Source organism: Homo sapiens, chromosome 7 (assembly GCF_000001405.40).
Source record: "Homo sapiens chromosome 7, GRCh38.p14 Primary Assembly".
NCBI classification, from domain to species: Eukaryota; Metazoa; Chordata; class Mammalia; order Primates; family Hominidae; genus Homo; species Homo sapiens.
Window position 1 is genome coordinate 7,670,541 of NC_000007.14, and position 16,265 is coordinate 7,686,805.

At 34.7% G+C, this 16,265-nt stretch overlaps 2 protein-coding genes across 4 annotated transcripts in view; one reads left to right on the top strand and one right to left on the bottom strand.

Moving 5' to 3' along the window:
* RPA3 (replication protein A3) overlaps positions 1-16,265 on the bottom strand; it is an 82,090-nt gene that overhangs the window by 34,023 nt on the left and 31,802 nt on the right. Inside the window, exon 4 of the mRNA NM_002947.5 lies at positions 15,290-15,458. The gene's annotated coding sequence lies outside the window, so the exon portion shown is untranslated. The remainder of the gene's footprint in view (positions 1-15,289; positions 15,459-16,265) is intronic.
* Positions 1-16,265, top strand: part of UMAD1 (UBAP1-MVB12-associated (UMA) domain containing 1) — a 238,472-nt gene that overhangs the window by 29,789 nt on the left and 192,418 nt on the right. Inside the window, exons 2-3 of one of the 3 annotated variants that reach the window (NM_001302350.2) lie at positions 2,769-2,913; positions 5,562-5,668. Coding sequence is in view for 2 of the 3 variants with exons in the window: in NM_001302348.2 (NP_001289277.1) it covers positions 2,832-2,913 (82 nt within the window). In the remaining variant the exon portion in view is untranslated. The remainder of the gene's footprint in view (positions 1-2,768; positions 2,914-5,561; positions 5,669-16,265) is intronic. The other 2 variants (NM_001302348.2, NM_001302349.2) reach the window with 2 other exon arrangements.

A 16,265-nucleotide genomic window follows, 5' to 3' on the forward strand; every position in this document is an offset into this window, starting at 1 on the left:
GTCTCTCTACTACTATAGGCAAAGTAACTCACCCCTCCCCAAGGCAGTCTGTCTCATTGCCCCATTCAGATATAGCATCATGCTCAAAGTTCAGTGCCTCTGGCTGATACACAAGAGTCTGTTCATCATGTTCAGATGTGGTACTCTTGGTCTGGAGACTTCATGAACTAAAAAGACAAGTAATCTGCCCCTCCTTTACCCTTACACCCTGGTGGAACTGGTAAGCATAATTGCCAAAACCACTCCCATTTACAAAGGCGAACAAAGGGAGAGAGAGAACAGTCAAAAGTTGTAGCAATTCTGCAATTCCACAGTAGAATTTTGGGGGACCCCTATCTTGGGCCCAAGAATGTTCCTTAATTATGTCCAGATTCTGCTTCCTGGGAGAGGCTCCTCCATCCATTGTCTTCCATGCCATTGGCTTCACCCTGTTGGAATTTTTTCCTTTTCGGTAACTTCCTTGGCTACAACGGAAATGGGCACTGGGCCTCCTTGGGGGCTGAACAGTTTTCTCTGGCAGCTTCTTATCTGTAGAAAATTGGTGTCTAAGGGTTGTTTTAAGCATTCAATAATCATATTACTCTTTGAATTGAGACCAGATTATTTTTGCAGTACAACTCTCAAAAATTTTGTTGGTTTCTTATCTACTTAACTTTAGTCAGCTTCGTGTGTCAATAGCCAGACCTAAAATTTTTGCTAGATGTAATTCTTAGATTTCCTGTATTTCTTATCTTTTTCACCTCTGTGCATGCCCCCCTCTTCTCTTTATTTATTTGAGGATATCTTGGCTCCACAAGGCTTCAGTTGGAGACCCACACCCTTAGTCTCTTTTTTCTGAACCGTTTTATCCCAAGAGAAAGAATTTACTGAGTGCCACATTAGTCTACACTGAGGTTTTAATATCAGCTATATACCCTTTATTTGATCCTTAGCTGAGGCTGAGTTTTAATTAGCTGTTGTTCCTTAAAGGCCTTCTCAGTTTTGTTTTTAACTGTTCGAGGTTGAAAAGTAGTTGCCTTTTCCAATTGTGTAAGTCGTTTAATTTGAAATCTATTGTCTTACATTTCTGCTTGCAAACCAATTCTTTTCTGACCTCATTTTTTCCTTGTGGGGGTTTCCCTTTATCTTATTCAGTTACTTTTTTTCATTTGATTCCTTGTCTTTTCATCCTTTTCTTTTGCTTTTTCATCTAATCTTGTTTTTCACCAGTTTCATTAGAGGCCATCTCTCCTTGCTCTCTATAGAGAGTGCCAAACTGTTTTCAAACTTTTCTTTTGTATCTATTACTATATCCAGTAAGCACTTTCTTTAAGGATTTCAGAAGCTGTTCCTTTTTTCTAATTAGAATGTTTTCTTCTTCACATGACTTGTGTTTTTCTTCTCCATTTTGAATTCCTTTTTTAAAAGTGAAATCTGCCAGATATGTTTTCTAGCAACCAATAGATTCCTTTTACCATTCACTTATGTTGGGGTTCATATCCTTCTCTGATCTACAACTCAGGTCAGGCCAACCAGCACAAATCCCAGTATAATTTTCAGTTGCTAGAAGGCTTTCACTCACATTAAATCCTCACCCTCCCTTCTTGGTTTTCTGCTATGGGTGAAATATATGAAAACTAAAACTTGGAGCACTTGCTGCCACCAGGATTATTCTTTGCTTTCTCTTTTATTTTTTTGGCTTGTAAGGAACTGTCCTCAGAATCCTATGTGTCCTTGCAAGTACCCTTCAACTTTCTCCCCAGTTGTTTTCTAGAAATTGTTGGCCTACTTGAATGTATAACAATGGGAATAGTAGGAAAAGAGGGTTGTGTATGTGTGCTTGTATTTGTGTGCGTGTGAGCATGTGTGTATGAGGGATGGTCACAATAATCTCACCAACGCAAGGATTTGCACTGATGGGAATTTAAAGTTGGCTGCAATTTTATAATGGGTACTGATATGGTTTGGTTCTTTGTCCCCACCCAAATCTCACTTTGAATTGTATTAATGCCCATGTGTCGAGGGCAGGACCAGGTGTAGATAATTAAATCATGGGAGCCATTTCATGTTGTTCTCGTGATAGTGAGTGAGTTCTCATGAGATCTGATGGTTTTATAAGGGGCTTGGCACTCATTCTCTCCCTGTCGTCCTGTGAGGAGGTGACTTCCCCTATGCTTTTAAGTTTCCTGAGGCCTCCCCAGCCATGTGAAACTGTGAGTCAATTAAATCTCCTTTCTTTATAAATCACTCAGTCGAGGATATTTCTTCATAGCAGTGTGAGAATGGACTAATACAGGTACAGTGCTTGAGTGTCTCAATTAGGTAACCATCAGTAGGGGATGTTTGATGTGTTTTCTTTTCTCCAGTGGCCTTAGTCTTATGAGGCTTAAGGTAGTCACAACATGACAAGAAACCTGGACAGGTCTGTTTATTTTATTTTTTCCTATCACCCAAACCAGTGTCTGTTTTATGGTTAGCAAGATCCTTCCAGATTCTCGTGTTATCTGTTGATTTGAGTTTTGTATGTAGGGATTTCCTGGGTTATTTTCTGAATCTTCAGAACTTGAGAGAGGTTGCACTGTGAACTTCAAAGGATACAGGAGTTTAAATTGGAAGATCATTTTCTAGCTTTGTCGGCTGACATCTAGAGAAGGCTCATGGTTTTACATGTGGCCATAGAATTCCTAAGAGTAACTATTGTTATATCGTTATGCTGAACTTTTTGCTAAAAAGGGTAAGAGTTTTACAGTTGCATCTGAATTTGACATTGTGTAATGTTTCTATTTCAGGTAGCAGCAGCAGCAGCAGCAGCAGCAGCAGCAGCAGCAGCAGCAGCAGCAGCAGCAGCAGCAATGTTTCACTTCTTCAGAAAGCCTCCGGAATCTAAAAAGCCCTCAGTACCAGAGACAGAAGCAGATGGATTCGTCCTTTTAGGTGAGTCTTTTTAAGAAACAAAATAATTAGATGAATTATGTTCTCTTTAAAAAATTACTTGAAAATTATATGATTGATTTTAAATTATTTCTTATAATTTCAGAATTAATTTATGTGTTTAATTTTTAAAGCGTAAAATCTGTAAAGATGAAAGTCATCAATTACTTGGAATAGTGTCATCAAGTGAGACTTTTCTTCCGTGTTGATTTGGCTGTGTTCTCCAAGTTAAATGTGTAAAATCACTTCTTTTTCCCCCCCTTTTTTTTTTTAACTGTGGAAAATCTAAAGTCTTCAAGAATCCTTGATGAATTCAAGTTCTGTCTTATAAATAGTACTAACCTTGTTTCATAAATTAGCATCTGAAATTAAATTAGGCATCCAATAAATATTTGCTGAATGAAGTAGACTTTAAAATCTAAATATGTTAAATAGTGTTTCCTGTTTAAGACTATTTTCTATTATAAAATTAATACCTGCAAATTTTAAAGGTTTTAGTGTCTTTAAAAAATATTTCTTACAATCAAATACAGTGTTCTTCACCAGGGGAGTTCTGAAAAGTAAAATTTCCTCCATGTCATGTCACATTTCTTCCCCTGAGGAAAAGTTTTGCACAACATCTTTGTATGCTCTTCCCAGAAATTCTCTTTCCAAAGTATGGTGTGGGGTAGTCAAACCCAGTGTTTCCTTGTGGTTCTCATCCTTTTCCATGCTGGACCTCCTCCCACCAAATTCCTACTCCTTCTCTGAGAAGATTTGCATTAACTCATATGGTCTTCACTCCCTGGAATGTTTCTCTGGGTCTCCTTTTCCAGATACTGGTTTCCTACCTCTTACTTCCTTTATCTTGGCCCCATCAGACTGGCATCTGCTAGCATCAGCCAATGCTCTGTAGGCTTTGAGAAATAAGGGATGTTTCCCTTAGATTTAAGGGTAATCTCTGTGAGACCAGAATAGAGTTTTTCTCGTGGATAAACTTTACTATAGAATTTTCCATCATTTCTACAGCCATGTTCTGGCAGGCCTGTTGTTTTTGAGAACCTGTCTTGTATGTCCAGGGACAGGAGCAGTAGCTGGGAGGTTGCTCAGAATTGTTTTCTTCAGACCAGATCCCTTATACCTGAGGTAAAAATAGTGGGGCTTAGTCTTTGACCAGGGCTGATGATTTTTCTGGGTAGCCTTCTGACTGGGATAAGGTAGGGTGCAGTGGACTTAATTGCTAATATGACCCTTCCTTCATAGTGTGTCAGGAATTTATGCCTTGGCTTCCAAGTCAGAACTGACTCTGTTAACTCCGATTTTAGTTCCTTGAAAGCTGCCAGTGTTACTTTTTTCACACTTCTTGAATTAGCCTCGCTAACAGAAAACTTCAGGGGTACATCAGGCCTCCTGTGAAGTTTCTCTTTTTCAGGAGTTTCACAATAAATTCTTCTCTCAGAATTTTTTCCAAAAAACTCTTGTTTTCCACTCTGTTATATATTCCTGATTTTAAAATACCTCTGAAGTCTTAACACATATACAGGGAACTCTGCTTTTTTCTGTTGTTTTTATTATATATGTATTTAAAATTTTTTTTAAAATTATTTTTAAAGAAAATAGAGATGGGGTCTTGCCATGTTGCCCAGGTTGGTCTTGAACTCCTGGCCTCAAGCAATCTTCCTGCCTCGGCCCCCCAAAGTGTTGGGATTACAGGCATGAGCCACCACGTCCAGCCTCTTTTCTGTTGTCTTTATGATTAGAAATTGACATTATTCTTTTTGTTATCAAATAGCCATTTAGAGGCTGTAAGTTGGGTGTACTGGCATCTTTGAAAGCACATAGAATTCCTAATGCTGGACCTTAAACTTTTTATTCATCTACTTTATCCCTACTTCTCTGCCACTTTGTAGGATTTCTGAGACAAATTTTAACCACCACTGCAGTGGCTCCTGGTGCTGCTAAGATCTCCTCCAATTTCTGGTAGCATGTAGTCCTGATGAGACATTCCATTGCATGTCTTGTAGCTATCTCAGTAGAAGCCCAGTTTCCAGGGCCTTCTGCCTCCGAGTATTATCTACTATGGATCTCCTTTCCCTTTCCAGGAAAGACTAGTTTAAGAAGTAGTCTTTCTTTAACTGAGCCTCAGAAGGCACACAAACTTCCAAATTTCGTATTTTAAGAAGGAATTTCCGGGACCTAATTACTCTAATATGCTCTCAGTACCAGCTGCTCCATCTGAGGGAATTTTCCCAGGACCATCTTGGACTAGCATAATTGGTGTCGTACCCAGCACCATATGTCTAGCAGTTGAACAGTCATGGTGAGGAATCACTTCCGTCGTAGTTCCAGGATAGCAGTTTAATTTGCAGTGCAGCTGGTGCTGTACCTGGTTCAAATGACCCAAACAAATCAGGTCCGCCAGATGTTGGCTGAGGCCTCGTTGCCCTTCAGCTCCTCTGTCTGCTGATGCTTGTCTCTGTTTAGCCTCATTTCCCCCCAGGTGCAAAGCTCCACCCCTTCACCATTTTCATAAAATCCTCTGTACATAGTCTTCTGTGGGTACCATTACTCTCCTGAAGTTTTGATGGTATCAGTCAGCATCATGTCTCAGCTCTTACTTCCTCTGTCTTCGTTCTCTTTTCATCATTCATCCCCTCTTCCTTCTTCCGCAGAAGCATCTCAGAGGCTCTCCAGTGACGTGCTGTTAAAAGTGCTGACCCTGGGTCAGACCCTTTGGGTTGGCTTCGTGGCTCCACGACTTACTCTCTACCCTTGGCAGGTTAGTTACCCTTCCCAGTACCACTTAGCATATCTAGGAAATGAGCACGATATCGGTACCTACCCCATGAAGTTATTGAGGGGAATAAATGAGTTAATGTGTGTAAAATGTTTAGAAAAACCCTGTGAGTGAGGTAGTACTATTATATCACCATACACAGGCTAGGATTTAATGTTTCCAAGTTTCTCCAGTTAGTATGTAGCAGATCTGGAATTAGCCCAGGCAATCTGACTTCAGAACCTATCCTCTAAACCACTGAACTATCCATCTTTTTGTAAAAAAAGTTATATCATCAGTTTTAATTCTAAGACATTATTGACATCCTAACCTCTTTGTTTTTTAAAAAAAGTTGTATTCTCTACAATTGAAAAGAGAAAGTGCTGTTTTTTATTTGTTTTAATAAAAGAAGGTTGGTGGTTGTAATACTGTTCATAAAGTTTGGCTTTTATTTTGGCTAACCCAAACTTTTTACTATTTAATAGTTTAAATGTTTTTAAAATATTTTAAAATATTTCAGAAAACTCCTTGATGAAGTTGAAATTGGAAGTTGGTATATATGGTTTAATTAGTGAAAACATCCTTCAGTGGTGAAGAACTTAACTGAATTGACAGATAAAGATCTTGACAGATTATTAGGAATATAGTTAATTGTCTTTAAAGTTATAGTTAATTATCAGGTAAACTCTTTTTTAAAAAATTGATTTGCTCTGCTAGGTTTCTCTTTTTATTATATCATTCTATACTGACATATATAATATCTACTTTAGTCTCAGAGCATACTGTATAAAATATTCTGGAAAAAGTCAAGTAGATCAAATGGTAAATAGAAAATGCTTTTAATGCTTTTATTAACATGGACACATACTTGCACACATCTGTTTTGTTTTAAATTTTTTATTTTTAATCATTATGGGTCCGTAATAGTTGTATATATTTACAGGGTACATGTGATGTTTTGACACAGGCATATAATGTGTAGTGATCAAATCAGGGTAATTAGGATATCTATCACTTCAAGCAATTATTTCTTTGTGTTAGCAACATTCAATTTCCACTCTTTTAGTTATTTAAAAATATACAATAAATTATTGTTAACTATAGTCACCCTATTGTGCTACCAAATACTAGATCTTATTCCTTCTATCTAACTGTATTTTTGTACCCATCATCCATCCCCATTTTATTTCCCTCTTTCTGCTACCCTTCCTTGCCTTTGGTAACCATCATTCTATTCTCTATCTCCATGAGTTCAATTTGAAAAAAACTGAGCTCCCTCATATGAGTGAGAAAATGTGAAATTTGTCTTTTTGTGCCTGCTTTATTTCACTTTACATGATCTCCTCTAGTACCATCTATGTTGTTGCAAAGGACAGGATTTCATTCTTTTTTTATGGCTAAATAGTATTCCATTGTGTATATGTACCACATTTTCTTTATCTATTCATCTGTTTTTTTGTTTTTTTTTTTTTTTTTTTTTTTTTTTGAGACGGAGTCTCGCTCTGTCGCCCAGGCTGGAGTGCAGTGGCGGGATCTCGGCTCACTGCAAGCTCTGCCTCCCAGGTTCACGCCATTCTCCTGCCTCAGCCTCCCAAGTAGCTGGGACTACAGGCGCCCGCCACTACGCCCGGCTAATTTTTTGTATTTTTAGTAGAGACGGGGTTTCACCGTTTTAGCCGGGATGGTCTCGATCTCCTGACCTCGTGATCCGCCCGCCTCGGCCTCCCAAAGTGCTGGGATTACAGGCGTGAGCCACCGCGCCCGGCCTATCTATTCATCTGTTGATGGAGACACTTAGGTTGATTCTATATGTTGGCTATTGTGAATAGTACTGCAATAAACATGGGAATGTGGACGTCTCTTTGATATGCTGATTTCTTCTTTTGGGTATGTACCCAGCAATAGAATTGCTGTATCATATAGTAGTTCTGTTTTTAGTTTTTTTGAGGAATCTCCATACTGGTCTTCATACTGGCTGTACTAATTTACATTCCTGCCACCAGGGTATGAGGTCCCTTTTCTACACATCCTTGCCAGCATTTGTTATTGCTTATCTTTTGGATTAAAGCCATTTTAACTGGGTTGAGATGATATCTCATTTTGATTTTGATTTGCATTTCTCTGATGATCAACAATATTGAACGTTTTTTTAATATGCCTATTGGTCATTTTGTATGTCTTGAGAAATAGCTATTCAGATATATAAAAAAATATATTTATATATTATTTAATATATATTTAATTTTATATAATAAATATATATTTATATATTTAATTTATAGATAATATATATTTATATATTTAATATAGATAAATATATTTATATACTTAATTTATAGATAAATATATATTTATATACTTAATTTATAGATAAATATATATTTATATACTTAATTTATAGATAAATATATATTTATATACTTAATTTATAGATAAATATATATTTATATATTTAGTTTATAAATATATATTTATATATTTAGTTTATAAATATATATTTATATATTTAGTTTATAAATATATATTTATATATTTAGTTTATAAATATATATTTATATATTTAGTTTATAAATATATTTATATATTTAGTTTATAAATATATTTATATATTTAGTTTATAAACATATATTTATATATTTAGTTTATAAACATATATTTATATATTTAGTTTATAAACATATATTTATATATTTAGTTTATAAACATATATTTATATATTTAGTTTATAAACATATATTTATATATTTAGTTTATAAACATATATTTATATATTTAGTTTATAAACATATATTTATATATTTAGTTTATAAACATATATTTATATATTTAGTTTATAAACATATATTTATATATTTAGTTTATAAACATATATTTATATATTTAGTTTATAAACATATATTTATATATTTAGTTTATAGATAAATATATATTTATATATTTAGTTTATAGATAAATATATATTTATATATTTAGTTTATAGATAAATATATATTTATATATTTAGTTTATAGATAAATATATATTTATATATTTAGTTTATAGATAAATATATATTTATATATTTAGTTTATAGATAAATATATATTTATATATTTAGTTTATAGATAAATATATATTTATATATTTAGTTTATAGATAATATATATTTATATATTTAGTTTATAGATAATATATATTTATATATTTAATTTATAGATAATATATATTTATATATTTAATTTATAGATAAATATATATTTATATATTTAATTTATAGATAAATATATATTTATATTTAATTTATAGATAAATATATATTTATATATTTAATTTATAGATAAATATATATTTATATATTTAATTTATAGATAAATATATATTTATATATTTAATTTATAGATAAATATATATTTATATATTTAATTTATAGATAAATATATATTTATATATTTAATTTATAGATAAATATATATTTATATATTTAATTTATAGATAAATATATATTTATATATTTAATTTATAGATAAATATATATATATATATATATACACACACACATATTAAGAGGCAATAACTCACTATGTTACTCAGGCCACTTTCGAACTCTTAGGCTCAAGCCATCTTCCTGCCTCTGCCTCCCAAAGTGCTGGGATTACAGGCGTGAGCTGCTATGCCTGGCCTGCCCATTTTAAAATTGGATTATTTTATTTTTTCCTGTTGAGTTGTTTGAGTTCCTTATATATACTGATTGTTCATCCATTGTCAGATGAGTAGTTTGCAAATATTTTCTCCCATTCTGTGGGTTGTCTCTTTACTGTTGATTAATCATTTCTTTTGTTGTGCAGAAGCCTTTTAACTTGATGTAATCCCATTTGTCCATTTTTGCTTTGGTTGCCTGTGCTTGTGGGGTATTACTCAAGAAATCTTTGTTCAGATTACTGTCCTGTAGCATTTGCCCAATGCTTTCTTCTAGTAGTTTCGTAGTTTCAGGTCTTAGATTTACGTATTTTATCCATTTTGATTTGATTTTTGTATGTGGCGAGAGATAGGGGTCTAGTTTTATTCTTCTGCATATAGATATCCAGTTTTCCCAGCACCACTGATTCAAGACTTCCTTTTCCCAATGTATATCCTTGGCACCCTTGTTGAAAATGAGTTCATTGTAAATGTGTGAATTTATTCCTGGGTTCTGTATTTGGTTCCATTCGTCCATGTGTCTGTTTTTATGCCGGTACTGTGCTATTTTAGTTACTATAGCTTTTTAGTATAATTTGAAGTCAGGTAGTGTGATTCGTCTAATTTTGTTGTTTTTGCTTAGAACAGTTTTGGCTTCTCTGGGTCTTTTGTGATTCTATATAAATGTTAGGATTATTTTTTCCATTTCTGTGAAGAATGTCTTTGGTATTTTGATAGTGATTGCATTGAATCTGTAGATTGTTTTGGGTAGTATGGACATTTTAACAATACTGATTCTTCCAATCCATAAATTTGGAATATCTTTCCATTTTTTTTTATGTGTGTTCTCTTTGGTTGCTTTCATCAGTATTTTATAATTTTTATTTTAGAGATCTTTCACTTTGGTTATATTTATTCCTAAGTATTTTATTTTACTGGTAGCTTTATAAATGGGATTACTTTCTTGGTTTCTTTTTCAAATTGTTTGCTGTTGGCATATAAAAATGCTATTGATTTTTGTATGTTGATTTTGTATGCCGTAACCTTACTGAATTTATTTATTAGTTCTGATAGTTTTTTTAGTTGCATACACATGTATCATGGTTAGCATATATCCACATAACTTTTTTTGTGGCATCGTGTGCAATACGTACATTACAGAAAAATAAATATATTTTGTTGGTTTGTGTGTTTGTTGATGTCTAAATGATAAAGCTAAGTAAAAACTTATAAACATGATTATATTTGTAGCAACAACTTTTTATCAATATGGACACCACAGAATTTGTTAGATTATCTCCTTATGTGGCCTTTATAACCCATTTCTAGAAAGGTCAGAGTAAATTATGTTGTTTAAGCTATAAATTATCTATTTTTTTCCACTTGAGAATACCTTTTCCCCTAGGCAAGCATTTCTGCTTAACACAAATAGGTTTTAGGTCACAATTATTAGATGGCATTGCAGAGTTGATGGAATCAACACATCATGACTTGAAATTCAGGTCTGGGCAGAGTCTAGACACTTGTTTTGGTAATAGGAATATCTGGGCTGTTCATATACAGTTAGCTCACATTTGGACAGAAAACCTTTCTCCGCATTAAGATTTCGAAAGCTTTTAGCCTCTGTAAAATGTCTAGTGGTGCCGAATAAGAATAAGGGAAAAAAGTTCTTGTAGAAAAACATCCTTTCCCTTGTAACCAGTTCCTATTCACGTAAGAAGGTAATAGCTATTCCTTCATTCAGTAATGAAGTTGAAGTAATCCTCCAGGGTACTCATTTTACACAAAAACAAATTGCAGTTTTCATTTGCATCACTGGGTGGCGATTTTTCATAGCCTTATACTACTATTTAAAAATCCAGCAAGCATGGCACTATTCGTAATTACCAGGGTTTTCTCCTGTTATGACATGTTTAATTGTACTTTTAAGACATTATCTTTAAGTTGATTACAAATTTACTAGTGTAGTGGCAAGCTCATAGTTATTTTAAGTTAGGAAAAGGGATATTGCGTAAATGTTAGGATATAATTCCTTCCAAAACTAAGACAAAAGCATGAATTAGCTTATTATGTTATAGCAAAAAGAAGGAAAAATAACAACAAAAAGTAATAGGATATAAATGAAAAGGAACAATTTAGATATTGTTGTTGGTTCACTAATATTGTTGACCAAATATTGAATATAACTTTGAAGCAGGCAGAATGAAATTGGGCAAACACTATTGTAGAGATTAAAGGAATTGGGTTACAGTACAAGGGAAATGCATCATGGTTTTCAGAATATGCAGGTGCTTCTTCAAGTAGGGCATAAGAACTTCTAGTTTCCATTAAGCTAATTATTTTGTAACACTTGCTGAATTTAGAACCAGAATTTAATAATTCACAGCAGCTTGGATTTCACCTTTTAAAATACTTAAAACACATTGAAATATGTAATTTAGTCTCACCTTCTGTTTTCCAGTCTCAATGATCAGTCAGATATTGAAAATAAGTGAGTTATTTTTAAGATTATCTCCTATGGAATTCCTCATTCTGGGAACCAAACCACATATACATACTTCATTTAAACTATCATATTTTTATATGGAACTTTTAAAGGTAGTCTCTTCATCGCTGTGTTGTTTCCTTTATTTAAAAGTGGAAATTTAGCTGTATACATAAAAATTTACATTCTAAGGAATGAGGGACAGTAAGTCACTTTGATTCTGTCTAGGGTTGAAGGCTTTAATTAAAACAGTGACAAAAACTAAACAGGTTTTCAACATGTGCTTCCTATTTTTATTGCCTGTTCTTACAAAAAATGTATACCAGATCTTTAAAAAATTAGAGTGTTTATGGATTAAAAAGTAACTTACCCTATCGCTGTCTCCTTACCCACGTATCGGGATATCCAGAAAAACTCGATTTACATTTAATTTACTTAGCAGTTTTTGTGTTTTTACTTTTGACCTTTAAATTGCAAAGCAAGTATGCCAGGATTTTTCAACTAACTTCATGATGTAGATGCTTGTTTTTCTATTAAGAAATGTGGAGTTGTGTGTCTAATGGATAGAATTAACAGTATTTTCAGTCACTGTTACCTGATTCTGGTTTACCTGTTAATCTAGCAGCGTTTCAGTTTCAGTTTTTCGGAGGTGAAAAAGTTAGGTTAGGCCATCCCCGTGTGGGGTACACCACCCTTCCTTAACTCCTTGAATGTACAGTGAAAGGCAATTGCATGAAGGAAGAGGAGAGGTGCCAACTGTACTCAGAGGCAGAACTGAGCCTTCTGTTTGGCACAGTTAATTGTGGGAAAGTCATTCATTTTTTTCGGGGACTCAGTGGATTTAGTTGACTCAAACGTAAATTAGGGATCTATCTCTCTGTGATTCTAACCCTTCTGTGCATTAGGGGATACTTAGAAAAAAATACTGGTGCTGGGACCCATTCCTAGATTCTGATTAAAAGGTCCTGGGATTAGGCCCAGGAATTGATTTTTTCCCCCCAGAGTTCTCCAGATGATTCTAGAGTTCATGCAAGGCTGAGAAGCACTACAGTTCACTCTCTAATAATTGTATGTCATCAAATAATGTGTTGAGACACTTTGAAAAAGACTTCATAAAATATAAAGTTACAGTTTCTTTTTTAGTTGAGCCATAAACAAAAAGCAAATAAAACCACAGAATTTCTGGGTAATTACATTTCCTTCAATATATTAAATCATTAAATAGAAAAAGAGCAGAAAGCTTCATACATGATCCTATGAAATGAAATTTGTTTTCTTTTCCTTTTCTTTTTTTTAGACGGAGTTTTTGCTCTTGTTGCCCAGGCTGGAGTGCAGTGGCATGGTCTCTGTTCACTGCAATCTCCGCCTCCTGGGTTCAAGTGATTCTCCTGCCTCAGCCTCCCAAGTAGCTGGGATTACAGGCATGCACCACCACACCTGCCTAATTTTTGTATTTTGGATAGAGACAGGGTTTCACCATGTTGGCCAGGCCGGTCTCAAACTCCTGACCTCAGGTGATCCGCCTGCCTTGGCCTCCCAAACAGCTGGGATTATAGGCGTGAGCCACTGCTTCCAGCCAAAATTCATTTTCTATGAGTAATATACAGTTTTCCCTTGGTATCTGTGGGAAATTGGTTCCAAGACCCCCGCTCATACCAAAATCCATTGACGCTCAACGCTCTGATATAAAAGAGCATAGTTTTTGCATGTGACCTACATACATCCTCCCATATACTTTAAATCATCCCTAGATTACTAAAATACCTAATGCAATGTAAATGCTATGTAAACAGTTGTTTTACTGTATTGTTTGAGGAATAATGACAAGAAAAGAAGCCTGTACATGTTTAGCACAGATGCAATTTTTTTTTTTTTTGAGACAGTGTCTCACTCCATCACCCAGGCTGGTGGCAGTGGCACAATCTTGACTCACTCCAACCTCTGCCTCCCGCGTTCAAGCAATTCTCATGCCTCAGAGTCCCAAGTAATTGGGATTACAGGCGTGTGCCACCATTCCCGGCTAATTTTTTTTTTTTGTATTTTTAGTAGAAATGGGGTTTCACCATGTTGGCCAGGCTGGTCTTGAACTTCTGGCCTTGAGTGATCCACCCCTTTCGGCCTCCCAAAGTGTTGGGATTACTGGCCTGAGCCACCACGCTTGGCAACCACAAGCAATTTTTTTTTCTGAATAATTTTGATCCACTGTTGGTTGAATCCACCCATGAGGAACTCATGGATACGGAGGGCTGACAGTTTTTGAAACCTTAGATGTTTTTTGAAAAATCAGTGGAACAACTGGGAAGCATTTTATTAAATTAATTATACAATGTGAATTCCAACTGATCTATGACTCTTTCTGGCTTTAGCCATAGTACAACTATGAATTTATGTGAAATTATTTGACAGATTAACACCCGTAAACTTTTCAAACCAACATCTGAGGTACCTTTTAAAAATCAGACTAACGCATTCAAGCAGCCATGTTTTAATACAACTATTTGGGGGTAGTTGACTGTTTCACTATGGTACTATTTCCTTGAAGGGTGCTTATTCCATACAACATCTGTAGGGAAAACATTGTAAGTATGCATACCATGTTATGTACATGGAATTTCTCCTACTGTTTCCTTACAGGCTTTACTAATGCTGTAACTTCACATTTTGTCAGATTTAACTCAAAAATTATGATGAGTGGCTTTCATATTTATTTAAACTTTATTATTTCATTATATTAAAGATATAGATAATGAGGATGAGACTCTAAGTAAAATGTACAGTATGAATATTCTACCTTGTATGAGTAATTCATATAGGGTTGGAAGACCTGAATGTCTTTCTGGTAATCTTAGTACTACAATATTCTTTTATACTTAAGTAATTATCATATTGAGCATCTGTTTTTTTTATTCATTGCATGCAACCAATGCATATTATGAAGGGAAGAATTATTATTGGGTTTACACATTGATCTTTTTTTTTTTTTTGAGACGGAGTCTTGCTCTGTCTCCAGGCTGGAGTGCAGTGGTGCCATCTCAGCTCACTGCAACCTCTGCCTCATGGGTTCAAGCGATTCTCCTGCCTCAGCCTTCCGAGTAGCTGGGACTACAGGTGTGCGCCACCACGCCCACCAAGTTTTGTATTTTTAGTAGAGAAGGAGTTTCACCACTTTGGCCAGGATGGTCTCCATATCCTGACCTCGTGATCCGCCCGCCCCTGTAATCCCAAAGTGCTGGGATTATAGGCGTGAGCCACCGTGCCCGGCCACATTAATCTTTATAAATGTGAATTTCTAAAAAATTTAAGTGTTGGCCCACTTGGTTTCTCAAGTTGCCTGCCTGACCCTCTTCGAAGTTGTACTTTTCTTCTTTTCTTTCCTTTCCGTACTATTCTAAAGCTTTTTAATAAACTTTCACTCCTGATCTGAAAAAGAAAAAAATTTAAGTGTTTTCTTCCTTCATTATATCATGATAGAATTATGGTCTTACCTTGGAAGAATAGTATCTCATAAAATAAGTAAGAAGAATGTGGTAAATTAGTGTCGTATCTTTTTTTGATTGTAGTAATCAGTAAGTGAACATTCTTGAGCACTTTCTCTATCCCAGGTGCTCTCCTGCTTGGTTAGGGATGCTCCAGATTCCTGGGCCTTGCCCACACCTAGTGAAACAGAATTTTGGGAGCTATAGCCAGAGAATCAGCATTTTAAGCAAGCAATGCATTTAGTATAGCTACTTGGGAAGAGTTGACTGTTTTACTCTACAGTATTTTTATGCATACTGATGTCTGAGAATTGCTGGAATAATTATTTTTATAAGGTATGGTAGAGGAGCAAAACTATTCTAGGTGGTGGGGCAGATTGTGTAAAGTTATATAGCTTCAGAAGAATCTGATACATAGGCAGGGCCAGTATTCTTGGCTGAATAGAGAGGGTGTATCAGGGCCACTATTGGGAAGTGTGTCCAGAAACATGGTTTGTGGGCCTTGTGTGGCCTTCTCAAATGTTAGAATGTTATCCCATTGGCAGTAAGGAACTATCAGACCATTTTAAAGCAGTAAAGTTATGGGTTTTGTTTTTTTGTATTTTTTATCAGAAATTTATTGACAATTTTTTAAAAATGTAGATAATTTTTATAGTTTCAGCAAGATTGAGAATTATCTTTTAATGAAAAAACTAATTGCAGCATCATGTCCTGAATGCATTACTGAGAAGGCATGCACGTATACTCATACGAGGTTGACAGAGTAAGTCAGAGAAACCACAACAACAAATTAATAAACTTTCCAGAACCATCATGCTGCAAAGTTATTTTTCTGAACACCTGATAATTTAACCTTTTAAATCTTCTTTAGCTTCACTGTGATATGGGGCAGACACTACTAGTCCCTCAATATCTGTTTCCCCCTTTATCTTTCCATGTGGCCGTTTTCCAGTTAGGTGTGAAGATTATGATGAAGTTTCTGGCC